Source organism: Homo sapiens, chromosome 3 (assembly GCF_000001405.40).
Source record: "Homo sapiens chromosome 3, GRCh38.p14 Primary Assembly".
Lineage (NCBI taxonomy): Eukaryota > Metazoa > Chordata > Mammalia > Primates > Hominidae > Homo > Homo sapiens.
In genome coordinates this window covers 187030291-187056975 of record NC_000003.12, presented here as the reverse complement: position 1 = coordinate 187056975, position 26685 = coordinate 187030291, and the positions used below count along the sequence as shown (strand labels likewise).

Sequence of the window (26685 nt, the reverse complement as noted above, 5' to 3'; positions counted from 1 at the left end):
TGGGACTATGTGAAAAGACCAAATCTACGTTTCACTGGTGTACCTGAAAGTGACAGGGAAAATGGATCCAAGTTGGAAAACACTCTTCAGGATATTACCCAGGAGAACTTCCCCAACCTAGTAAGGCAGGCCAACATTCAAATTCAGGAAATACAGAGAACACCACAAAGATACTCCTCGAGAAGAGCAACCCCAAGACACATAATTGTCAGATTCACCAAGGTTGAAATGAAGGAAAAAATATTAAGGGCAGCCAGAGAGAAACATCAGGTTACCCACAAAGGGAAGCCCATCAGACTAACAGCAGATCTCTCAGCAGAAACTCTACAAGCCAGAAGAGAGTAGGGGCCAAGATTCAACTTTCTTAAAGAAAAGAATTTTCAACCCAGAATTTCATGTCCAGCCAAACTAACCTTCATATGTGAAGGAGAAATAAAATCCTTTACAGACAAGCAAATGCTGAGAGATTTTGTCACCACCAGGCCTGCCTTACAAGAGCTCCTGAAGGAAGCACTAAACATGGAAAGGAATAACTGGTACCAGCCACTGCAAAAACATGCTACATTGTAAAAACCATCAATGCTAGGAATAAACTACATCAGCTAATGGGCAAAATAACCAGCTAACATCATAATGACAGGATCAAATGCACACATAATATTAACCTTAAATGTAAATGGGCTAAATGCCCCAGTTGAAAGATACAGGCTGGCAAATTGGATAGAGTCAAGACCCATCAGTGTGCTGTATTCAGGAGACCCATCTCACATGCAGAGACACACATAGGCTCAAAATAAAGGGATGGAGGAAGATCTACCAAGCAAATGGAAAGCAAAAAAAAGCAGGGGTTGCAATCCTAGTCTCTGATAAAACAGACTTTAAACCAACAAAGATCAAAAGAGATAAAGAAGGCCATTACATAATGGTAAAGGGATCGATTGAACAAGAAGAGCTAACTATCCTAAATAAATATGCACCCAATACAGGAGCATCCAGATTCATAAAGCAAGTCCTCAGAGACCTACAAAGAGACTTAGACTCCCACACAATAATAATAGGAGACTTCAACACCCCACTGTCAATATTAGACGGATCAACGAGACAGAAACTTAACAAGGATATCCAGGACTTGAACTCAGCTCTGCACCAAGCAGACCTAATAGACATCTACAGAACTCTCCACCCCAAATCAACAGAATATACATTTGTCTCAGCACCACATCGCACTTATTGTAAAACTGACCACATAGTTGGAAGTAAAGCACTCCTCAGCAAACATAAAAGAAGAGAAATCATAACAAACTGTCTCTCAGACCACAGCGCAATCAAATTAGAACTCGGGATTAAGAAACTCACTCAAAACTGCACAACTACATGGAAACTGAACAACCTGCTCCTGAATGACTACTGGGGACATAACGAAATGAAGGCAGAAATAAAGATGTTCTTTGAAACCAATGAGAACAAAGACACAACATACCAGAATGTCTGGGACACATTTAAAGCCATGTGTAGAGGGAAATTTATAGCACTAAATGCCCACAAGAGAAAGCAGAAAAGATCTAAAATCAACACCCTAACATCACAATTAAAAGAACTAGAGAAGCAAGAGTAAACAAATTCAAAAGCTAGCAGAAGGCAAGAAATAACTAAGATCAGAGCAGAACTGAAGGAGATAGAGACACAAAAAACTCTTCAAAAAAATCAATGAATCCAGGAGCTGTTTTTTTTTTTTTGAAAAGATCAACAAAATTGATAAACCGCTAGCAAGACTAATAAAGAAGAAAAGAGAGAAGAATCAAATAGACGCAATAAAAAACGATAAATTGGGATATCACCACTGATCCCACAGAAATACAAACTACCATCAGAGAATACTATAAACACCTCTATGCAAATAAACTAGAAAATCTAGAAGAAATGGATAAATTCCTGGACACATACACCCTCCCAAGACTAAACCAGGAAGAAGTTGAATCTCTGAATAGACCAATAACAGGCTCTGAAATTGAGGCAATAACTAATAGCCTAACCAACCAAAAAAAGTCCAGGACCAGACGGATTCACAGCCAAATTCTAGCAGAGGTACAAACCTCTTTGTATCAATCCTTCTGAAACTATTCCAATCAATACAAAAAGAGGGAATCCTCCCTAATTCATTTTATGAGGCAAGTATCATCCTGATACCAAAGTCTAGCAGAGACAAAACAAAAAAAGAGAATTTTAGGCCAATATCCCTGATGAACATCGATGCAAAAATCCTCAATAAAATACTGGCAAACCAAATCCAGCAGTGCATCAAAAAGCTTATCCACCACGATTAAGTCAGCTTCATCCCTGGAATGCAAGGCTGGTTCAACATATGCAAATCAGTAAACATAATCCATCACATAAACAGAACAATGACAAAAACCACATGATTATCTCAATAGATGCAGAAAAGACCTTCAACAAAATACAACAGCCCTTCATGCTAAAAACTCTCAATGAACTAGGTATTGATGGAATGTATCTCAAAATAATAAAAGCTATTTATGACAAACCCACAGCCAATATCATACTGAATGGGCAAAAACTGAAGCATTCCCTTTGAAAACTAGCACAAGACAGGGATGCCCTCTCTTACCACTCCTATTCAACATAGTGTTGGAAGTTCTGGCCAGGGCAATCAGGCAAGAGAAAGAAATAAAGGGTATTCAATTAGGAAAAGAGGAAGTCGAACTGTCCCTGTTTGCAGATGACATGATTGTATATTTAGAAAAACCCATCATCTCAGCTCAAAATCTCCTCAAGCTGATAAGCAACTTCAGCAAAGTCTCAGGATACAAAATCAATGTGCAAACATCACAAGCATTCCTATACACCAATAACAGACAAACAGAGAGCCAAATCATGAGTGAACTCTCATTCACAATTGCTACAAAGAGAATAAAATACCTAGGCATCCAACTTACAAGGGATGTGAAGGTCCTCTTCAACAAGAACTACAAACCACTGCTCAACAAAATAAAAGAGGACACAAACAAATGGAAGAACATTCCATGCTCATGGTTAGGAAGAATCAATACTGTGGAAAGGGCCATACTGCCCAAGGTAATTTATAGATTCAATGCCATCCCCATCAAGCTACCAATGACATTCTTCACAGAATTGGAAAAAACTACTTTAAAGTTCATATGCAACCAAAAAAGAGCCTGCATTGCCAAGACAATCCTAATCCAAAAGAACAAAGCTGGAGGCATCATGCTACTTGACTTCAAACTATACTATAAGGCTACAGTAACCGAAACAGCATGGTACTGGTACCAAAACAGATATATAGACGAATAGAACAGAACAGAGGCCTCAGAAATAATACCACACATCTACAACCATCTGATCTTTGACAAACCTGACAAAAACAAGAAATGGGGAAAGGATTCCCTATTTAATAAATGGTGCTGGGAAAACTGGCTAGCCATATGTAGAAAGCTGAAACTGGATCCCTTCCTTACACCTTACACAAAAATTAATTCAAGGTGGATTAAAGACTTAAATGTTAGACCTAAAACCATAAAAACCCTGGAAGAAAACCTAAACAATACCATTCAGGACATAGGCATGGGCAAGGACTTCATGACTAAAACACCAAAAGCAATGGCAACAAAAGCCAAAATAGACAAATGGGATCTAATTAAACTAAAGAGCTTCTGCACAGCAAAAGAAACGACCATCAGAGTGAACAGCCAACCTAAAGAATGGGAGAAAATTTTTGTAACCTATCCATCTGACAAAGGGCTAATATCCAGAATCCACAAAGAATGTAAACAAATTTACAAGAAAAAAACAAACAACCCCATCAAAAAGTGGGCAAAAGATATAAACAAACACTTCTCAAAAGAAGACATTTATGCAGCCAACAGGCACATGAAAAAATGCTCATCATCACTGGTCATCAGAGAAATGCAAATCAAAACCATAATGAGATACCATCTCACACCAGTTAGAATGGCGATCATTAAAAAGTCAGGAAACAACAGATGCTGGAGAGGATGTGGAGAAACAGGAATGCTTTTACACTGTGGGTGGGAGTGTAAACTAGTTCAACCATTGTGGAAGACAGTATGGCAATTCCTCAAGGATCTAGAACTAGAAATACCATTTGACTCAGCCATCCCATTACTGGGTATATACCCAAAGGATTATAAATCATGCTGCTATAAAGACACATGCACACGTATGCTTATTGTGGCAGTATTCACAATAGCAAAGACTTGGAACCAACCCAAAGGTCCATCAATGATAGACTGGATTAAGAAAATGTGGCATGTATACACCATGGAATACTATGCAGCCATAAAAAAGGATGAGTTCATGTCCTTTGTGGGGACATGGATGAAGCTGGAAACCATCATGCTGAGCAAACTATCACAAGGACAGAAAACCAAACACCGCATGTTCTCACTCACAGGTGGGAGTTGAACAATGAGAACACTTGGATACAGGGCAGGGAACATCACACCCTGGGGCCTGTTGTGGGGTTGGGGGCAAGGGGAGGGATAGCATTAGGAGAAATACCTAATGTAAATGACGAGTTGATGGGTGCAGCAAACCAACATGGCACATGTATATCTATGTAACAAATCTGCACATTGTGCACATGTACCCTAGAACTTAAAGTATAATTTTAAAAAAAAGTTTCTTAAGGTTGTGGGCTTCAAATAGAAAGTGGGCTATGCAGGAAGCAGCTTCTGCCTAGCTGGTGAGTTCCTGAAAGTAAGGAAGTGAAGAGACAGATATAGGGAAGTGGAGCCCTAGTAGAGAAGGAAAGAAACACACATTCCACAGACACTGCTGAAAAGGCATTTCTGATCTGTTCCAGGATCCACCCCATGCCCAGGACTCCTAGGGAAGTATGCAGACTAAATACTGACATAAAAACCCCCAGAGCACATATGTTTATTCAGAAAAAGGCAAATGTTGGTGGTTGTGAGATGGGCAGGTTGCAGCCCTATTGTGCAATTTTTGATATTTTCATATATATGTGTAATACAGTTTTTCCCACTAATAAAATATACTAACAGAACCCTGTGGCAAGAATATTTCTCAAGTCTCCCTTAGTATTGAGAAATCGGCATGTGCTACCTGAAAATACTCCGGGAACCTAATTATCCAGGGGAATTTATGAAATAGTACATGAATTCTAGTGCCATATTACACATAATTACATGGTGACACTGTCTTATAGTAGTTGTATAGCATTTTACGGTTCATAAAGTGCTCTCCTGTGTATTGTTTCATTCACTTTTCACAACACTCCCCACTCTCCCCTGGATGTTCTGCGCTCTGCTGTCCCTCATGTAAACCTCCAGGTATGACCTTGCAGCAGCAAGGACAGCTCAACTCTACTTTCCTGGGTACCAGACACCTCCATTAGCAGACACTAATACTAAAGGGTTTTTCTTTAAATAAACACATCATCAGGTTGGGTCATGGAATCATTGTCTTCTTCTCCAGTGAGGAATCAGGAACTCAGGAAGATCAAGAGACTTAATTGGCAGCCTAGATATGCTCCCAGTAGATACATTCCACATTAGAGCCCACACTGTGGTCCTTCTCTTACTCCATAGCTGCACAGAAGAAATTTTACCTGAGAGTTCATCAGGCGAATGGTAGTTTTTGTGCCCACATCTTGTTGGAAGTTGGCTGTGGGTGCCCCATTAAACCTCAGGACTGCGTCATGATCATCTATAAACCACAAAGAAACAGAAAAGAGGTGATGAGCACTGGCAATATGCAGAAAAAGAGAAAGACGAGAGGCGGGGGAGGGGGCAAGGGAATAATGCTTCCCCATCTTTACCCCATCATGATCCACAGGGCGAAATGGCAGTATTTGTGTGGTGCTCAGGTAAAGCTCCTAGGCAGAGATGACCACCTGTCTGCCAGCCACTGTAAGGGCTGAAGGGGGCCATACTGTGGCATTCCTGAAACCCATTCAAAGACATTCGCTTGTGCCTGGGCACACAGAAAAGTGAACAAAGCCAGTGTGCTACTTACAGTGGAGTAGCTACTCCAGTTATCAAAGCAGCAAACCAGATATTCTCTTGGTATCACCAGTAGATTATATTTCTATCTCTGTCAGAAAAATGAAAACACTACCATATGTTCAGTGTATCCCACAAGTGCAAAGGACCCCATTGCACTTTGAAAAGCATGCAGTGCTCAGCAAATGGACAGGATTTAACTATGGCATCCAAGACAACCCCCAGGCGTTCCATTTAGGAACCTGAGGCCCAGGGAAGAGTCACAGAACTGGTGTGGCAGAAATGGAAGAGGAGGTCAGAGAGCTAAACTAACTTCCTTCCTCTCTCTCTTTTCCTTCCTTCCTTCCTTCTTTTCCTTCCTTCCTTCCCTCCCTCCTTCCTTCCCTCCCTCCCTCTCTCTCTCTCTCTCTCTCTCTCTTTCTTTGTAAGCCATTGTCAGAAACAATGTACTAAATCCAGTCAAAATCAAACAGGCCATCTTGAAAAACCTAAAAGCTTCCTGGGCTAGCTCCTTGTCTTTGCAACTGTTTAAGCAGTGTTTGGAAGACTTGGAAAAGTTTCTCTACCCCACGTTGACCTATCTGATGAAGGAGGGAACTGAAGACTTTAAGGAGCCATCCAAATCCTGTGATCCTATGAGAACTTCTTTCAATCTTACTCGGTCAAGCAAGTTTGGGGCTCACCACTGAAATCTACACGGGATCTGGGGGTCAGCTGAATCCTCTATTGTCCTATTCAGGTTTGTTTTGGATCATTCTTTATCCACACAGGATTTGGGGAAGTGAGGGCATTTGACTGAACACAAGATGATTTAGAAAGAGGATATCCACAGAATTAAGGATGAAAGCCTCTCTCTTTATTTCAGTTCCAATGTATGTACTAAACCTCAGGAACACAGAAACATCATTCATGAAAACAACACAACCCTATCCTCAATCCTAGGGCAAAATTTCATCAAAATGGTTTGAAAATTATCTGAGAAGGGCACAGTCCAAACTGTTATCATCTTACAGGGCAGGTACACTGAAGTGCACATAGGGCAGGAGGTATATCTTTACACAACTCAGAATTACAACACATTTTGTCAGAATCAGTCACTGGTTCGAAAGGGATTAGTAGTAATTGCATGAGAAACACAGATCCATCAGAAACTTCAGTTAGTCAACTTTTCCATTTCACAGATGAATAAATTATTGGTGAGAATCCCAGTAGAAAAGAGATGAGAAGCTCCAATGGAGTAATTGAGAGATTCATAAAAGGACTACTTACCAAGTTGGGGTAGAGTTTAAAGAAATCAACACGGAATAGGCTAAAGCCCCAGGGTTGATGACTGCAGGGTGTCATTACCACCCCAGGTCTACTGTGGCCTGATGAGCGGAGACCCTGAGCTGAGGAGGGACACCTGTCGGGAGCTGTTGCCTTTAGGAGAGGAACACAGCTATTGCCAACCTCCGGGCAAGAAGGAGCCTGAGGGAGTCAATATCCCAACCTGGTTCTGCCCCTTCCCTTGGATCTCATAGAACTGAAGGGAAAAGGGACAGAGCAGGACCAAGACTGGGACGGCCTCCTGGCAGGATCTGAGACCTTCAGTCAAGAGAAAGATACAGCTTGAGTTTACTCTGCAAGGCGAAACATGGCGGAATAGGTGCCCTGACCTTAGTCTTCTTCTCAGCTTTAATGCCACTGCTTCTCCTGGCCAGTCCCAGAGAAAATCCAGAGAGTGAGAAATGCCAATTAACGCAGTTCAAAATTTTAATTTCTCAGCTGGGCGCAGTAGCTCACGCCTGTAATCCCAGTACTTTGGGAGGCCGAGGCGGGTGGATCACCTGAAGTCAGGAGTTCGACATCAGCCTGACCAACATGGTGAAACCCCATCTCTACTAAATATACAAAAATTAGCTGGGCGTGGTGGCACGCACCTGTAATCCTAGCTACTCTGGAGGCTGAGGCAGGAGAATCGCTTGAACCCAGGAGGCGGGGGTTAGCGTGAGCCGAGATTGTGCCACTGCACTCCAGCCTGGGCAACAGAACAAGACTCATTCTCAAAAAAAAAAAAAAAAAAAAAAAAAAAATTCAATTTCTCAGGGACAGAGCCAGATGGAAAAGGGTGAGAGTGGGATTTGGAGGTGCCACTGGAGAACATCCAGCACAGAAGGCTTAGGTTAGAACAGATGCTTGATGTTGACCATAAGAAAGGAGAATTGTTTTGTTCAGTCAACAAATACTGATTGAGCACCTACTCTATGCCAGGCACAGTTTTAGACACGGGAGACGACGCCTGTGAGCAACAAAGACAAGGTCCATGCCCTCAGAGATATTACATTCTACTGCACGGACATAGACAGTAAAGACGGACAACAACCTACATATAAGATAATTTCGGATTGTGACAAACACTGTGACACTAACAAGCTGAGCTGTGTGCCAGAGACACTGAGGGAATTTCCTTCATAGAGTGATGATTCAGGGAATGCCTTGGAGCTGAGACCCAAAGGATGGCCAGCCTTGGGAAGGGTTCAGAGAAGTCCACCAGTCAGAGGATGCAGCAAGTGTCAGGACCACAATGAGGGCAGGGACTTGACTGTAGACAAGGAGTGAGGGGAAGAAAAATCAAAGATACAGTTACAGAGGTTGGCAGGAACCAGATCATACACGGACATGGGGGCCCAGGTATGAAGTTTGGACGTGATTCTAAGAAAAAAGCCAATCAGGCTGGGCACGGTGGCTCACACCTGTAATCCCAGCACTTTGGGAGGCCAAGGTGGGCAGATCACGAGGTCAGGAGATCGAGACCATCCTGGCTAACACAGTGAAACCTCGTCTCTACTAAAAATACAAAAAAATTAGCCGAGTATGGTGGCAGGCGCCTGTAATCCCAGCTACTCGGGAGGCTGAGGTAGGAGAATGGTGTGAACCCAGGAGGTGGAGCTTGCAGTGAGCCAAGATCACGCCACTGCACTCCAGCCTGGGCAACAGAGCAAGACTCTGTCTCAAAAAAAAAAAAAAGAAAGGAAAAGAAAAAAGCCAATCAAAGGAGAAAACTTTTTTGAGGAGATGGATATTCTAATTACCCAATCTGATCATTGCGCATTGTATGCATGTACCAAAATATCACATGTACCCCATAAATATGTACAATTATTATATATCAAATTTTTAAAAAGAAAACTTTAAACTGACTTGGGTACTTAAAGAGAAAAAAATCCTGTTTGTCAAACCTCCCTGCTAATTGAAAGTTGAACTTTCAAACTCAAATAGGCCTCTAAGAAATCACCAAGAGAAATCCACAACTACTGAGATCCCAGCAAACAAGCCTAGCGAGGGGGAAAGGCTGCAGAAAAAAGAAACTACCACCTCTCTGTAACTTAGAATTAGAGCTCAGAAAAAGAGGCAAATTAGGAGAAGAAAAAATAAATGCATCACTGTATTCAGATTATACAATCACACGCTTAGAAAATTCAACAGAATCAGCTCAAGTTAGTAAATTCATAAATACATCAAAATCCACTGCCTCTAGGTGTAGTTAACTCTAAATAGCTAGAAATTATTATGAAAGAAATTTTATCACAATTTATCACCAAACGCTTTTATATTTTCAAGTTAGCCTAATACATCCTACAACCATTTATGGAAAATTACATTCTGAGTCCGGTTGAAGAAAACAGACATACTATAGATCAGAGTTAAAAAAAAAAAAAACTATGACTTGGCCGGGCGCGGTGGCTCACACCTGTAATCCCAGCACTTTGGGAGGCCGAGGTGGGCGGATCATGAGATCAGGAGATCGAGACCATCCTGGCTAACACGGTGAAACCCTGTCTCTACTAAAAATACAAAAAATTAGCCAGGCGTGGTGGCAGGCACCTGTAGTCCCAGCTACTCGGGAGGCTGAGGCAGGAGAATGGCATGAACCTGGGAGGCGGAGCTTGCAGTGAGCCGAGATCATGCCACTGCACTCCAGCCTGGGCAACAGAGCAAGACTCCGTCAAAAACAAAACAAAACACTATGACTTGAAGGACAAATCTGGTGCATCCCTCATTTTGTAAATAAAGTTTTGTTGGAACATAGCCAGGCCTGTTCATTTACTACTATCTATTGTTACTTCTGCAGTACAACAGCAGAGTTGAGTAGTTGTGACAGACATCATGGCCCTCAAAGCCAAAACTATTTACTATCCGGCCTTTTAAGAAAAGCTTGCTGACCCCTGATATAACTGATCATGTTCTCCAAGCTACTCAGTTCACAGGTGTCTTCTCAGTCCTTATTCTGCCCAAGAATATGTCCCACCTCTGCAGACTTTGATACCAACAGCCAACATCCCTCAAACTCCATCCCCCTTTGCCTTCCATTGTATGGTGCACACCTAGTTCTCCTCTAGCCGGTCTCTGACCCTTCTGACTTTTCCCTGTTCTTTTCTTTGTCCTTTAAATGTAAATCTTTTTCTAGATTTTCTAATTGGTCTTCTTCCCTGGATTATAACCATTATCTCACCTTGATACAAATGACTTGTAAATCTATCTCGATATCTGATCCTTCTCTAGAATTAAGTACTCAACAGCATAGATATCTACCCAGGGAAATCCACACACACTTCAGTCTCAGAACATCCAAAGTGGAATCTGCGTTCCTCTGGAAGCATGCTCCCCTTGGTAAGATACAGCCTGCTCCCAGGCTAGACATCCTGGCTCCTGCCTCTCACTCAAGATCATTTCCAGCTAGATAGTAAGTTCTGCCTCTTACTTCATGAGCCCTCTCAGGTAAGGTCCTTTCTCTTCATCACTGCTACCACAGCCTGGGCAGGCCTGGCACTTCTGACCTGGTTGTGGCAATAGTCCCTAATAATGGAGACATTATAGAGTACAAAACAGGGACTCATAGAGAAGTGAGAAGTCTCCCTTGTTCAAAAACCTCCTAGGGCTCTCCATGGCTTAAAGAATGAAACCTAAAGTCCTTATTGTGACTATCAACGTTCTCTAAGAGCTAATGCCTAGCTACCTTTCTGGCCTCGTTCCTCACCCATCTTCACCCACAAGGACCCACATGCCGTCCAAACAGGATTATTTGTGATGCCCAAACACACTTTTCCCCGTGCAGCCTTTGCTTCTTGCCTTTGCCTTAACTCAGAATACCCTTCTCTTTCTCTCTAGGACAGCTAATAGACAAGAATAGAAGAAAATTTTTAACATAATAAAAGAATAATCACACCGAATTTTATTATGAAGCTACAATTATTATGAGGCACAACAGCAGAGGTGCCAAGAGTGGGGTCTTTGAAGCAAGCACTCTGCTTTCAAACCTCAGTCTGCTATTAGCCAGTTGTGTGACCACTTGAGCCTCCGCATTTAGCTCTCCAGCAAAATGAGACCAATAATCTTATCAACCTCACAGGACTTCTGGGAGGATGAAAAGAGCAAGGCATGTTAGGAACTCAGCAGATGCATAATAAGCATCACTTGTATTGATGATAGTGTTTTAAAATTATGCTACTGTTTGACATGAAAATTCCAGCAAATCTAGGATACTTAACATGTATGAGTAAACTATCAAAAATAATTGAAAATGACTGAGCCCACCATTGGCTGGTTTGTGAGACTGCTGGAGGCAGAGTATGTTATTACACTCTCTCTGATAGAAAATCTTGCTATGGACAAAAAAAAAAAAGTCATAAAATGTCTCTTACTCGTGTCTTCTAGCCTCACTTCTGAGGATATTTCCCTGTTGAATGTCAATAGTGGTTACCTAAGTTATCTGCACAAAAACCTTGTCAGCAATGTTATTTGTAAAAGAAAACCATTTGAAATAATCTGATCCATCCAGTAGTTGGGAAGAGACTCAACAAATTCCAGATGCAGGAGGAAGTGTATGGGCCTGGCACGCTGCCTGCAACTCGGGCTTCAACAAAGGGCCTTTCCCTTCCCTTTCCCCTTTGTATTGTTGATGAATCCATGAATAAATAAAAGAATATATGAATGTCTTAAAATATTTGTTAGACAAAATGCCAAGAGGATATATACCCCATAACAGCAGAACATTCGAAGTCTAACATGCAATTTTGATTACATCTCAGGATCAAAGTCCTTCTGTGGAAATCCTTATTTTGAAGTTGAAACTGCAATCTATAGAAAAATATTATTTGTATTAATGTTTACTTAAATCACCCCAAATCTTTAAGGAGTGCATAAAATTAAAGCTGTAGTTCTAATTAACAGAGCTATCAGGCCCTGTCTCAAACTTCAGTACAATTTCAGCCAGGCACGCAATATTAACTTGACATGAAGAAGAAGGATCAGCTAATACCTAGGATATCCCAAACATTTGCTACATAAGCAGCAAAAATGGAGAAGAAAGAAACTTAGCTCCATTATGGATGAACAAAAACCAATCACATTTAGTTTCTTGAAAACAAAGTCCAAGAAAAACCAAAAATACAAAAGCAGAAGTTGAGGTGGGGCCGGCCAGCGGGGCAGCTGCCTATTTGGGGAGGTAGAAACTGTGATCTCACCATTTCTTTCTGCTCTAGAGAATCCAGTTTGGGCCTACTTTTCTTTGAGAGCCTGTGCTGGGTTTCAGACCATTTTTCCTGGCAGTCAAATGAAGGAAATAAAAAAGGAGACGTATGACCTCACCTGCTCCAGTACCTCCAGGCTGACAGAGGAGCAAAGCTTCCTGTGCTTTGCTTTCTTTAGCTGATTCATTTCAAATAATGGAAAACACATTCAGCATAAGAGAAATAAGGCTCTCTGTTACACAGGTTTACAAATATAGACAGACTTTCTATCTTGATTCACTACAAAGGGTTTCAAGAAAAGCAAATTAATATGTTGTGACCAGTGACTCTGAAACTTTTTTGGGTCACAGATCCCTTAGAGAATAAACTGCAGTCTACAAACTCCCTTCCTGGAAAAATGCACGGACACACTTATACGCATACACATACATTCTACACACCTAATCCACAGACAGTTTTGCACGCAATTGCAGGGATTCATGACCCTCTGAAGTTGGTCCATAGCCCCCAGTTAAGAATTACTGACCCAATTAAATCTTTTCAAAGAGAAAAGCTGAAAATTACCCAGGTTGTTGAGGCCAATAGAGTCCTCCACTAATCAGGAAAAACAACAGAATTTCAGAACCTGGAAATGATGTGCAGATCTATGCTTCAAGTCTTTTCAAAGGTCAATTGTAGGCTTTTGATTATTGGTAGCAGCGGAACTCTCTTTTTCAAATGAAATCTTCTACACAATTCCAATATTTAAAACAGATGAAAATAAAACTATTCTGTTCCCAACACAAAGAAACAATAAATGTTCAAGGTGATAGATATTCTAATTACCCTGATTGGATCATTACACATTGAATACACGTATCAAAATATCCCCATAAATATATCTAATTATTATATATCAACTAAAAATATTAGGAAACAATAATGAAGCTCTTCTAATTGATAAAAGATGCGGGGGCCTAGAGCGCCATCTGTTCAACTCCCTCTGTGTCACTTGTGACTCTGAAAAAAACACTGCCCTGGGCCCACTCCACTGGTCCGCTGAGCCACACTTGGGCCACTTGTCTCCCATACCATCAATATGCCCAGCCAGTCCCAATAAGCACTGCCATTCACAGAACAACCCCAGAACATACCGATTTCTCTGCCTAGTTGGGAGGACTTCAGAGATCCCGCTGACGACACAACAGCACACCTGCCCCAAGGCCCAGCCTTGGTCCTAATGCTCTCCTTGGGCAGATAACCCTCCCATTCAGAGGTATTGAAGGGAAAATCTGTGACCTCTACCATGGATACATTCACATGGTCCCGGAGGTGGCAGCGCAGGGCCTCTGCACTGAACTTGATGCCTGGTCCTGGCCCCTTGTAGGACACTTTGTACTTGTTCATGCTTAGGTAATTCTTCCAGATCTTTTGCAGCCTAGGGATAAGGTTTTTGGAAGAGCTGTCCTTGTTCCACACCTGGAAGGAGGCCTCTGGTTTGGCCTTGGCTAGGCCTCTGAGACTGCCGAGGGTCTGGCGGCCCCTGTGGGGGTCCTGGGTGCTGCTTGAGGATACAGACTGGGAATCAGACCCCATGGCCAATTTCCCCAGACTCTTTAACACCTGGAATTCCTTGGTTTGCAATTTAAAGGAATCATAGTAACTCCCTTTCTTCTTTTCCTTCCACACACAGATGACTGCAAACAGAAGAAAGACCAGGACGCAGCAGCTGAACTTTTTCTTCAGGTTGGTGTGAATCATAATGAAGATGTGTTCAGGGAAGTCACTTTGTTCTGAGCAGGAAAACAAGCCTAAAAAAAGTGAGACAAGGAAAAACAAATGATGTAAAGAAAAACCCAATGTGGCATGAGGCGGAGCGATGGACTGAGCAATAGATTTGAAATGAGGTGACTTGAATTCCAGCCCTGGTCTACCTCCTGGCCACCTCTGCAGCCTGTTAAGCAATTCTCGACAAAAGTCAGACTCAATTTGGGCTTTGAACGTGGACAGCAGTCCCTCTTCCTCTTCCACTCTTCCACTCCCTTCTTCCTCTTGAGCCATGAACACTTTATATGTCCTCCCATCATTACTTTTTCTATGCTGAATATTAGTTTCTGGTTGCCTTGGTCTACCTCTCTGACTGCACTCTGAGTTTCTTGAAGTCAGAAACCACATCTTGCAAATCACTCAGTTCCTAGGGCCTTGTAACATTTGTTAAATGAAGCCATGCATGCTTGAAAAAAAAATAGAATAAAAAAAAGCAGGCTGACTGTTTTACATCACCAGACCTAAACTTCCTAAAATAGTAAGTGGCCCAACACCCCTTCAAAATGGCCAGAAAAAGACTTCTCGTTATAGATGATGCCATAGATTTCTGATGTATCTCTCTAAGGGCTGCGATGCTGGACTCCTGCATGAGAAGATCGAGGGTTATCTCCACCACAGTTTTGTGCAGTGCCCTGCAAGAAGAGCACTGCTGAGACAGGAAGCTGACTCACCTCATGATAGAGGCTAGGAATTCTGGGTAAGATAGCAGACATGTAGCCAACTAAGGAAATGGAAACAAAAATTCATTAAGCACGCTAGATGTTATTTCACTTAACTTCACCATAACCAGGGCCACCATGAGACACAACTCTGGGGGCACCACGCATAGCATAGTCTAATACGAAGGGCATCTCCTAACCTGTACAGGGTTCACTTCAAAGGTGTTATAATCTCCATTTTATGGATTAGCAACCTGAGGCTCTAAGAAGTCAAGGGAAGTGCCCAAGCTCACAGAGCTGAGGAAATGGTTGCACTGAGGTTCAAATCGAAGTGGATTTGATTCCATAACCCATGTCCTTTCCAGTACAACATGCACAGAACTGCAAGAAGCTCTGGAAAATAGATTTCACTGAGCAAATAGAGACTGAATAGTCTCTTTATTTCTGAGTAAACACCTACTTTGTTTTCTCAGAATTTATTGTGTAACTGAATGGAAACTGGAAGCACTTTGAACTCAAATAATGTCTGTATCTTTTGGAAAACATTACATTCTTTCCCCAATCACTGGGTTTATTTACAATAATAAATCAAAGCAATCACCTCCGGGGTTTTGCTAACCCACTAGGGGTCTGAGGTCCCTTCCCATGGATCCCGCTCCTAAGGATATCAGGAAAAGGTAGTAGGAGTACTGGACTGGGTGTTCACAAAACCTGGGTTCTTATCCCCATTCTTGGTGACCTTGGGCAGGTCACTTAATATTTCTGCCCCTGAGTTTTTCAGAATAATTATCTCTGCCCTATGTGATTTGCAGAGTGTTGGGAGGGCAAAACAAGAGCATGGTATTCATTGGATTTGAACTAGATAAGCAAAAAGGCACAGAAGGTATTCTGAACAGAGACAGGAGAGCAGCAGCTCAGCCTGGGGGCCATGTGGAGGTGATACGGGTAGTGAAGACAGCAGTGTGAAGCCACAGCCATGACTCAGCAGCCCTGAGCTCCAGGCTCTTCCCTGGGAATTCTCCATGAACTGACATCCAGCTCATTCCTGGAATCCATTGGCAGTACCAACCAAAGCAGTGCTTCCACCATCCCAGACCTCAGGAACCAGTGACTCTGGGAACGATGGGCTCCTATCTTGGGCTGCTGAAGTTGTGGAAATGATTAAATGTACACAGTGGAAGAAGAATTCAGATAGAAGATCATGAAGTGAAGGGTGGAAGCTTGTTGTATTACCAGAAACTAAGGAATTCAATTTCCGCAGACACCCAACACAGGTAATCACATGACCATATGACAACTGAAGAAGAACTAGAGAAAAGAAGGAAAGTAGCATTTAAGGAGGGCCTACTACGTGGTAGTCACTTTCCTTGCAATATCTCATTGAACCTTTACTACAACACTATGATAGAGATATTGACAATCCTATTTTAGGAAATGGAAAAAACTGAGACTTAGCAAGGTTATAGGGTTTCTCCAATGTCAACAGCAAGTCAGTTCTAGAACCAGAATTCCAGCCCAGGTCTGTCTGACTCTAAAAGTTCATCATCTTTCCACCCAAGGACATGCATCTGTGATAAGGGACAGTGAGAAGTCAGTGTGATCAAGTCGGACTCAAGGTCACTAGAGAGGCAACTTCGTCTGTCAGACAGTCGCAGACAAGCCACCTTCACCATCAGTGCTGCACCTGCCATCCCTGCTGTGCACTGAGTGGTAACACTCAGGTACTTTCCGTATTGGTAAGGTTTTACAGACCTATTATACTCCCGTGAGATAAGCACAGCAGATTTTATGAGCTCCATTTATAGCTGAGTATAGTGAGGTTTGGAAATACAAATAATTTTCAAAGTTGCATGAGTGATTTGGAAATAGTGGACTTAGAACCTGACTTTCACATGTCTGAATGAAACAAGATGGCAGGAAGGGCCTGATTCACTGTCACAGGAGTGGAGGCTCAGGCAGCAGCTGCCCAGTACCTACTCTCCAAGGTGTGGTTTCCCAGGAAAGAAGAGTTCCTCCAAACAGCTGGGTCTAGCGACAGTCTTGCAACCATCAGACAGCCTCAGCCTTCACAGCCTGTGCTCTGTCATGGCCTCAGGGCACTCATCTGAAATCTCACATAAGGGCTCATGTGGTCCCTTGACACCACCCTTGGTTGAGGCTCCAAGTCCACCAGGTGGCTGGAGTTTCTGGTCACAGGCACTTATAACTGCAAGACCCTTTCTCATCTCTCAAATTGTCTGAAGAAGGCAGAGGCTGAAGAAACTTTCTCTAAATGGCGCAACCGAGGGAAAAGAGTAGCAAACTTTTCTCTACAAATGTTTTGGAAAAACACACTAAGCTTTGAATTTTCCAATTACACCAGACTGTGTTAAGCCTCCAGGTGTCTGCACTGCTGCACTCTTTCTCCTTGTCCATGTGCCTGCCAGCTCTGACAGCATCACCTTTCTGCTTCTGAAGGTCAGTGGAGGCCACCTCCCCTTCCGCACTATCCCTGCTCCCCTTTGCTGCCAGCCAGTGCTTTGTAATGCTTGCTTTTCATGCCTGACTTTGCTGCTCAAGGAAAACTCCTCCTGGTATCCTTTCTGAAACCCTAGTACCCAGCACAGTGCCTGGACCAGAGCGGATACTCAATGAAAGATTATTGAACTGATGCAATTGTATCAGAGAATCTTTACAATCATCACGAGGCTTCTAGAGGAAGAACACAGCGACTTGCATCATCACCTTCAAAGAACTGGCCAACACTGAACCGGCAGAAATCAATGCTCAAAGCAAGGAAATCCTGTCCCGACCCACCCGTCATGACATACTCAGTACCAGTTGCATTCGTGGCAGGTAGTAGGTACTCAGAATGGTTGACTGAAATACAGAATAACTTAAATCTTATATAGTTAATAGAAATGGACAAGCCATTTCTCTACACCCCCCAATGAAACCCACATTGAATCAGCAGTTAAAGAGGACTAAAAAATACATACAAAAAGAAAACAGCAAAGCTGGAGCCAGATACTGAGATCCTGAGATTCCCTGCCAGGACATCTGCCACACCAGCTTTTACTCAGGAATGTACCCCTTTGCTAGCCCATGCCTCTGTGTGTTCCTTACCTGCTTCTGGCTAATCCCCCAGGGGCGGCAGGCCCTTCAGGTCCTCAGGAATTAGCACTATTATCCATGGGAGGGAAGGTTTATTGGGTCTGCAGGCCAAGGCCCATTTTTCTCAGGATGATCAAAACTCATCTGCAAAGGCAAAAAATAAGAGACAGAAAGAGAGGAGGTGAGAGCTGTTTTCCAGCAGAGGCAGTGTTAAACATTAACAAGATGGAAAGGTGCTTATGCAGACCTAGGCTAGGTCTCAATCCAGGAAGCCTCCAGGGCTCAGGAAAAAGAGAGAGAGAAAAGCCTATTAAAGGTGCAATGCTCTGGATCTGTGAACAGCACAGATAGCCTAGAAATAGACTTGACACTAGCCGGGTGTGGTGGCTCACACCTGTAATCCCAGCACTTTGGGAGGCCGAGGCAGGCGGATCAGGATCATGAGGACAGGAGATCAAGACCATCTTGGCTAACACGGTGAAACTCCATCTCTACTAAAATACAAAAAAAAAATTAGCCAGGCATGATGGCGCACACCGGTAGTCCCAGCTACAAGGGAGGCTGAGGCAGGAGAATTGCTTGAACCCGGGAGGCGGAGGTTGCAGTGAGCCGAGATCACGCCACTGCACTCCAGCCTGGGCAACAGAGAGAGACTCTGTCTCAAAAGAAAAAAAAAAAAAAAAAAAAAGAAATAGACTTGACACCAGATAAGAATGGGCTAGAAAGCTAAAGCGGCCACCATGGACCAACCTGGGAAGAACAGGTTGTTTAATTGCTGGCTTGGAGGTAAACAGGGAGTAATTAGGTCCATCCTGAAATAAACTTCATACAGATTTTCAAAAAATTATTTATTTTCAAAGAATATTTAATAATATGTGAAAGTTCAATCAGTATAATTGTAACTGAAAAAATACGTTATAAAACGGTAAACACTATCCAAATTCAGAAAAAAAATACATTTAAAAAAACGTGAAAAAGTACTAGGAAAAAGTACTAGAAAAAAGTACACCCAGAATGGTAATAATAGATGTTTTCATCTTTTATAATTTTACATATATTCCAAAATTTCTAAAATGTACATCCATTATTCTTTGACTTTGAAAAAATGTACAAAAGTATAAAAATGTAATTTTAAAAAGCTAAAAATAAGCCAGGCGTGCATGCCTGTAGTCCCAGTTACTCAGGAGGTTGAGGAGGGAGGATCATTTGAGCCCAGGAGTTAGAGGCTGCAGTGAGCTATGAGCGCCACTGCACTCCAGCCTAGGTGACAGAGTGAACCTGTCTCTAAACAAACCAACAAAAAACAGCTAAAAATATAAATATATACCTGTCAGCTCTTTCTTCTTTTGATGCGATGTAGGAAAATAGCAAAGGAAAAGTTTAATACATTCAGTTGCAAGAAAATTTCAACATCTATACAATGAAAAATACTGTAACTACAATAAAAAGGAAAAGTCAAAATATAAAAAGGGTTAATATAATAAAAGTCTCCCAAAATAAAGAGGTAATCAACATGAACAGACTAATCACAAAATAAAAAGCACAATTAACAAGCATATAAAGTTATGGTTAATCATGAGAGAAACCCAAGAGGGGCAACTAGAATACTGAGAAACTAGTTTATAGAATTTACATTCGTCCGCAGTTTTCTACATGATAATACTCATTGCTGGACAGATTATAATTAAATCGATATATATTCAAAGGATCATATAAATTAATGTAACCTTTCTAGAATGTATTCAGGCCATAGAATTAAGAGCTTCTGACCATGGACCAGGCTACTGTACTTCTAGGAAATAAGAGTGAATAAATAAATAATTCATAAATAATTCAAAAGATTACATACTCCAGTTTCCCCACATGTAAAATGATTCTCTACATTACATAGTTCTGATGACAAATGAAAGAGGATTAATGAGATAAAGAATATGAGTTCTATAAAGCAATACGCACACAAAGAAGAAAAGGGTTTTTTTAAAAAATAATTTTAATTTATATGTTAGATTCAGGGGGTATGTATGCAGGCTTGTTACCTGGTATATTGCACAATGCTGAGGCTTGGGGTATGATTGATCCTGCCATGCAGGTACTGAATAATTCATTTTTTAGCTCTTTCCCCAGCCTTCCCCGTCTTGTAGTCCCCAGTGTTTATTATTGCCATCTTTATGTCTATCAGCATTCATTGTTTAGTTCCCACTTATAAGTGACAACATATGGCATTTGGTTTTCTGTTCCTGCATTATTAATTTGCTTAGGATAATGGCTTCCAGCTGCATCCATGTTGCTGCAAAGGGCATGGCTTTGTTCTTTTTCATGGCTGTGTACTATTCCACAGTGTATATGTACCATATTTTCTTTATCCAGTCCACCACTGATGGGCACCTAGGCTGATTCCATTCTTTGCTATTGTGAATAGTGCTGCAATAAACACACAAGTGCATGTCTCTTTTTGGTAGAAACATTTATTTCCTTTTGGATATATACCCAGTAATGTGATTGCTGAGTTGAATAGTAGTTCTGTTTTCAAGTTTTCTGAGAAATCTCCAAATTGCTTTTCATGGTGGCTGAACTAATTAACATTCTCAACAACAGTGTGTAGGTGTTCCCTTTTCCCTGCAGCCTCCCTAGCATCTGGTGTTTTTTGACTTAATAATAGCCATTCTGACTGACGTGAGGGGGTATCTCACTGTGCTTTTGTTTGCTTTTCTCTAATAATTAGTGATACTGAGCATTTTTCATGTTTGTTGGCAGCTTATATGCATCTTTTGAGAATTGTCTGTTCATATCTTTTGCTCACATTTTAATGTTGTTATTTGTTTTTTGCTTGTTCAATTGTTTAAGTTTCTTATAGATTCTGGATATTAGATCTTTGTCAGATGCATAGCTTGCAAATATTTTCTTCCATTCTGTAGGTTGTCTGTTTATTCTGTTGATAGTTTCTTTTGCTGCACAAAAGCTCTTTAGTTTAATTAGATCCCACTTGTCAATTTTTGTTTCTGTTGCAGTTGCTTTTAAGTACTTTGTCATAAATCCTTTCCCAAGGTTGATGTCCAGAATGGTGTTTCCTAGGTTTTCTTCCAGGATTCTTATAGTTTGAGGTCTCACATTTAAATCTTTAATTGATCTTGAGTTAATTTTTGTATATGGTATAAGGAAGGGATCTAGTTTCATTCTTCTGCATATGGCTAGCCAGTTATTCCAGCATCATTTATTGAATAGGGAGTTCTTTCCCCCGTTGCTTATTTTTGTTGACTGTGTTAAAGATCAGATGATTATAGGTATGTGGCTTTATTTCTGGGTTCACTATTCTGCTCCATTAGTCTATGTGTCTGTTTTGGTACCAGTACCATGCTGTTTTGGTTACTGTAGCCTTACAGTGCAGTTCTAAGTCAGGTACTGGAATGCCTCTGAGTTTGTTCTTTTTGCTTAGGATTGCTTTAGTTATTTGTACTCTTTTTTGGTTACACATGAATTTTAGGATAGGTTTTTTCTAGTTCTGTGAAAAATGACATTGGTAGTTTGATAGGAACAGTGTTGAATCTACAGATTGCTTTGGGCAGTGTGGCTGTTTTAATGATATTGATTCTTTTAATCCATGAACACGAAATGTTTTTCCATTAGTTTGTGTCATCCATGACTTCTTTCAGCAAAGTTTTGTAGTTCTCCTTGGAGAGATATTTCACTTATTTGATTAGATGTATTCCTAGGTATTTAAAATTTTGTTGCGACTATTATAAATGAGATTGTGTTGTTGATTTGACTCTCAGCTTGAAAATTACTGGTTATGGAAATGCCATGAATTTTTATACACTGGTTTTGTATCCTGAAACTTTGCTGAAGTTGTTTATTAGTTCCAGAAGCCTTTTGGCAGTGTCTTTATAGTTTTCTAGGTATAGAATCATATTGTCAGCAAAGAGAGACAGTTTGACTTCTTTTCCTATTTGGATGCCTTTTATTTCTTTTTCTTGTTTGATTGCTCTGGACAGCACTTCCAATACTATGTTGAATAGAAGTGGTGAGAGTGGGCATCCTTGTCTTGTTTCAGTTCTCAAGGAGAATGCTTCCAGTTTTTACCCATTCAGTATGATATTGGCTGTGGATTTGTTATAGATGATTCTTATTATTTTGAGGTATGTGCCTTTGATGCCTAGTTTCTTGAAGGCTTTTTTGATGAAAGGATTTTGGATTTTATCAAAATCTTTTTCTGCATCTATTGAGATGATCATATGGCTTTTGTTTTTAATTCTGTTTATGAGGTGAATCACATTTATTAATGTGTCTGTGTAGAACCAACCTTCCATCCCAGGAATGAAGCCTACTTGATCACAGTGAAATAATTTTTGATGTGCTGCTGGATTCGGTATGCTAGTGTTTTGTTGAGGATTTTTGCATTTATTTTCATCAGGGATATTGGCCTGCGGTTTTCTTTTTTTACTGTGTCTTTGCCAGGTTTTGGTATCAGGGTAATGCTGGCTTCATAGAATGAGTTAGAGAGGGATCTGTCTGCCTCACTTTTTTGGAATAATTTCAGTAGGACTGGTACCAGCTCTTTTTTGTATGTCTGATAGAATTTGGCTGTGAATTTATCTGGTCCAGGGCTTTTTTTGGTGGTAAGTTTTTTATTACTGACTCAATTTCAGAACTTGATATTGGTCTGTTCAGGTTTCAATTTCTTCCTGATTCAATCTTGAAAGATTGTGAGTTTCCAGGAATTTGTCCATTTCTTCTAGATTTTCTACTTTGTGTGAACAGAGGTATTAATAGTCTCCAAAGATCTTTCATATTTCTGTGGGATTAGTTGTAATGTCATATTTGTCATTTCTGGTTGTGATTATTTGTATCTTCTCTCTTTTCTTCTTTGTTAATCTAGCTAATGGTTTACCAAACTTGTTTATCCTTTCAAAGAACCAACTTTTGGTTCTGTTGATTCTTTGTATGGATTTTTGAGTCTCAATTTTGTTCAGTTTTGCTCTGGATTTTAGTTATTTTTTTCTTTTTCTGCCAGCTTTGGGGTAAATTTTTTTTCTAGTTCCTCTGGGTGCAATATTAGGTTGTTAATTTGAGATCTTTCTAACTTTTTGAAGTAGATGTTAAGCACTACAAACTTTCCTAATAACACTGCCAAAAATAAAAATTTTTAATGTCGAGCTTATTTATCAAGGTGAAAATCTGTTAACAACTAAGCATCCAGCAATAAGGAAATAAGAAAAGCATGGTATAGCCACCTGAAATAATTTATATAATTGTGTATGAATTTATATAGTAATAGGGGAGAAAATACTTAAAATCTTAAAATGAAAAAAGCAAAACAGAAAATGTTACCTGTATACTCAGATGGTGACTTAAAAGATATGTATATCCAACTGTCTAGAAAAAATGTAAATGGTTGAGACTTGAATACCATTGACGGATAAACTGATGAAAGATTAATTCTTATCAGTTTGAATTCCTTTATTATTTTATTCTTTGTTTTTGAGATGGTGTCTCTCTCTGTCGGCCCAGGCAGAAGTGGTGCAATCTTGGCTCACTGCAAGCTCCACCCCCGAGGTTCATGAGATTCTCCTGCCTCAGCCTCCCCAGTAGCTGGGTAATATAGGCACCGGCCACCACGCCCAGCTAATACTTGTTTTTAGTAGAGATGGGGTTTCACCATGTTGGCCAGGCTGGTCTTCAACTCCTGACCTCAGGTGATCTACCCACTTCGGCCTCCCAAAGTGCTAGGATTACAGGCGTGAGCCCCCACGCCTAGCCAACTTCCTTTATTATTTTTATTATGTTACTTGAATAATTAAGGCAAAACTCTTGGGGGCAATACTAAAAAATACACTTCAACCTTGTGTATCAACTTGGTGCACAATATTAACCTGGCTGCAAGGCCTGTCCTAGGAGATCTAGCATTAACAGAACTAAGAGGAAGCCATATGGACATACTTGACTTCACCCCATGAACCAAGAGAAAATCCTCTGTTGAAGGCTAGGAATTCAGGTTGGGAGAACCCCAGCTCTTCATGACCAGGAGGAAGGCAGGCAGGCAAACCCTAGGTATGACTACCAGGGAAAAAGTGAGAGGTGCCACTCTGCCCTGTGTCAAAACATTTGGGGCTCTCCTCATCAGCTCAAAGAAGGACGGTTTTCTGGGCAGCATCCTTGGAAGAGTCAGAAAATTTCTCTGATAGTTATCCCTCTGACATTTTCACAGCATGAATTTCCCTTGTGGCATGAGTGTTTGTAATTATGCAGGCATTCATTTAGTATTTGATTAGTCTGTCTCCTTCCACTAAAAATATAAGCTTCATAAATAGGAATCTTGTCAACCTTCTTCTCTATTATTTCCAGGGAGTATCTCTAGACACTAGATGAATGTCTAGCACTTAATAAGCTCTCAGTATGCATTTGTTGAATGAATAAATGGGTGACGGGTTCACAGCTCTTACTCCTGGCATCACTCATGGAAGAGGCTCTTTCTTAGCCCCCTGTAGAAAACACTGTGGGCAGTCACCAGACTTTTGGATGATACCTCTTGCCTGTGAATGCTGGTTTGCTGCCATCCTCCAGCTGGCAGCCAGAACATGAAACTTTTTGTTTGATACAGCCCACAGACAACAGAAAAGTACATCAATCCCAGCTCTTCCTCCCTTACATCAACTGCATCTGCTCAAAAAACCTTGCCCTCTAAGAAGATAAAAATCACTCTCCATTTTTGATTTTCAAAAATCAACCAATTGAAACAAAAGTGGTGCAACTATCTAGATTTATCATAGGTGATGAGGGCTTTCCAAAAATAGTCCCTGCTGCTGATGAGATAGCAGCACTACTGATCTTCAACCAGCTGTAGAAGTGATAACAGAACCCTCAACTCTCTGGGTGAGAAACTTTAGCAATCCTGGCAATAATAGCTACCATTTATTTAGCACTAGCTATGTGCCAAGCACTGACTATAGCTTAGGGATGAACAATACAAGCTTTGGAATCAGATTTATCAAGACAAGAGCCCAAACTGCCTTTCACCAGCTACCTGACTTTGAGCAAGTTACTCAACCCCTTAAGACCCAAGATTTAAGACATCTTTATCTATAAAATAGAAATAGTAATAATAACAAGTCCTACCTCATAGTGTGATTTACAGAATCAAGTAAAATAATCCACTCGGCCAGGTACTGTGGCTCATGCCTGTAATCCCAGCACCTTGGGAGGCTGAGGCAGGTGGATGACTTGAAGTCAGAAGCCCGTGACCAGCCTGACCAACATGGTGAAAACCCGTCTCTACTAAAAATACAAAACTAGCGGGGCGTGGTGACGTGTGTCTGTAATCTTAGTTACTCGGGAGGCTGATGTAGGAGAATCACTTGAACCCGGGAGGTGGAGGTTGCAGTGAGCCGAGATCACACCACTGCACTGCAGCCTGGGCAACAGAGCGAGACTCCATCTCAAAAAAAAAAAAAGATAATCCACTCAAAGGGATTACAACAGTCACCATCCCTTCCTCTGTGGATACCATTACTACCCCCATTTTTACAAACAGGGAAACTGAGACAGGGAAGATAAATAATTTGCCCAGATTAAGTAGAATGGCACTCTAAATGTCGAAGACTCTTTCATGCCTTTGCAGCTCTGCACAAGAAGTTCTTCAGCAAAGTGTGGTTTCCTGTGCTGTTCCCATGGGGCCATGCCCACTCAGCTTCCAACACCAGCTCAAGTGCTCCTTGACTCTCAAGCTTCCTTGGCCTCACAGAGATGATCAGCATAACTCCATGGTGCCTATTCTTCCCCTCATCAAACTATGTGACATTTATCTGTTTGCAGATCTGTCCCAACCAGATTGAGAGCTCCTGGGCCACAACTAGGAAATGTTCAGTCATGTCTGAATGCAAGAATGAAGCTAGCTCCTGACACCATCCCTCCCCACTGCCCACTGCCTTCAATTGCTACAGCCACTCCCTCCCACCTACCCACCCATCACCTTCAGTTGCCAGAATCACCTTGACGGCACCATCATTGCAAATGTTCATTTTGCCTGTTGGATACACTGAATGACAGGGAATTTACTACCGCCCCAGACCACACACAACTGTGTGAGTAGCTCTGCCTCTTAGAAATATATTAAAGTTAATGAAAATCAACTTCCCTGTAAAAATAAATCCAGTGTTGCAGCTGGGCACGGTGGCTCACACCTGTAATCCCAGCACTTTGGGAGGCCAAGGCGGGCAGATCACTTGAGGTTAGGAGTTCGAGACCAGCCTAGCCAACACGGTGAAACCTCATCTTTCCTAAAAATACAAAAATTAGCTGGGTGTGGTGGCGGGCGCCTGTAATCCCAGCTACTTGAGAGGCTGAGGCAGGAGGATCGCTTGAATCCGGGAGGCGGAGGTTGAAGTGAGCTGAGATTGCACCACTGCACTCCAGCCTGGACAACAGAGCAAGACTCTGTCTAAAAAATAAAATAAAAAATGAATAACTATAAACCCAGTGTTTTAAGCTCTACTCACTGGAGCCACATAGACTCAGATGGTGAACCTCTAACACTTGTTGCCTCTAGCAAGTGTTAGACTGAACCTCTAACACATGCTATTTGTCAGGCTCAAAGTGAAGAGC

General features: G+C 41.4%; 1 protein-coding gene across 4 annotated transcripts in view, besides 9 other annotated features; it reads right to left on the bottom strand.

Moving 5' to 3' along the window:
- Positions 1-26685, bottom strand: part of ST6GAL1 (ST6 beta-galactoside alpha-2,6-sialyltransferase 1) — a 148028-nt gene that overhangs the window by 21578 nt on the left and 99765 nt on the right. For 2 of the 4 annotated variants that reach the window (NM_173216.2, NM_003032.3), the window contains 3 exons: positions 18103-18234; positions 13666-14322; positions 5630-5727 (listed from right to left, as the gene is read on the bottom strand). In NM_173216.2, the coding sequence (NP_775323.1) occupies positions 5630-5727; positions 13666-14272 (705 nt within the window). In that variant the 5' untranslated portion in view covers positions 14273-14322; positions 18103-18234. Of the gene's footprint in view, positions 1-5629; positions 5728-13665; positions 14323-18102; positions 18259-26685 lie in introns of those variants that run through there. The other 2 variants (NM_001353916.2, NM_173217.2) reach the window with 2 other exon arrangements.
- Positions 12333-12442: an enhancer, noted in NCBI's record as "active region_20962". NCBI's record gives its function as "activates an Ori minimal core promoter by ATAC-STARR-seq in GM12878 lymphoblastoid cells {active_cell/tissue: GM12878}" and the evidence as "EXISTENCE:reporter gene assay evidence [ECO:0000049][PMID:35858748]".
- Positions 12553-12822: an enhancer, noted in NCBI's record as "active region_20961". NCBI's record gives its function as "activates an Ori minimal core promoter by ATAC-STARR-seq in GM12878 lymphoblastoid cells {active_cell/tissue: GM12878}" and the evidence as "EXISTENCE:reporter gene assay evidence [ECO:0000049][PMID:35858748]".
- Positions 15073-15142: an enhancer, noted in NCBI's record as "active region_20960". NCBI's record gives its function as "activates an Ori minimal core promoter by ATAC-STARR-seq in GM12878 lymphoblastoid cells {active_cell/tissue: GM12878}" and the evidence as "EXISTENCE:reporter gene assay evidence [ECO:0000049][PMID:35858748]".
- Positions 18221-18680: a promoter, noted in NCBI's record as "SmaI/BclI promoter fragment". NCBI's record gives the evidence for it as "EXISTENCE:reporter gene assay evidence [ECO:0000049][PMID:7893756]".
- Positions 18237-18417: a promoter, noted in NCBI's record as "156P1 promoter fragment". NCBI's record gives the evidence for it as "EXISTENCE:reporter gene assay evidence [ECO:0000049][PMID:12878221]".
- Positions 18248-18256: a transcriptional cis regulatory region, noted in NCBI's record as "Inr(3)". NCBI's record gives its function as "contributes to promoter activity" and the evidence as "EXISTENCE:deletion mutation evidence [ECO:0005510][PMID:22581331]".
- Positions 18269-18276: a transcriptional cis regulatory region, noted in NCBI's record as "Inr(2)". NCBI's record gives its function as "contributes to promoter activity" and the evidence as "EXISTENCE:deletion mutation evidence [ECO:0005510][PMID:22581331]".
- Positions 18299-18312: a transcriptional cis regulatory region, noted in NCBI's record as "HNF1 site". NCBI's record gives its function as "important for promoter activity" and the evidence as "EXISTENCE:site-directed mutagenesis evidence [ECO:0005528][PMID:12878221]".
- Positions 18313-18320: a transcriptional cis regulatory region, noted in NCBI's record as "Inr(1)". NCBI's record gives its function as "contributes to promoter activity" and the evidence as "EXISTENCE:deletion mutation evidence [ECO:0005510][PMID:22581331]".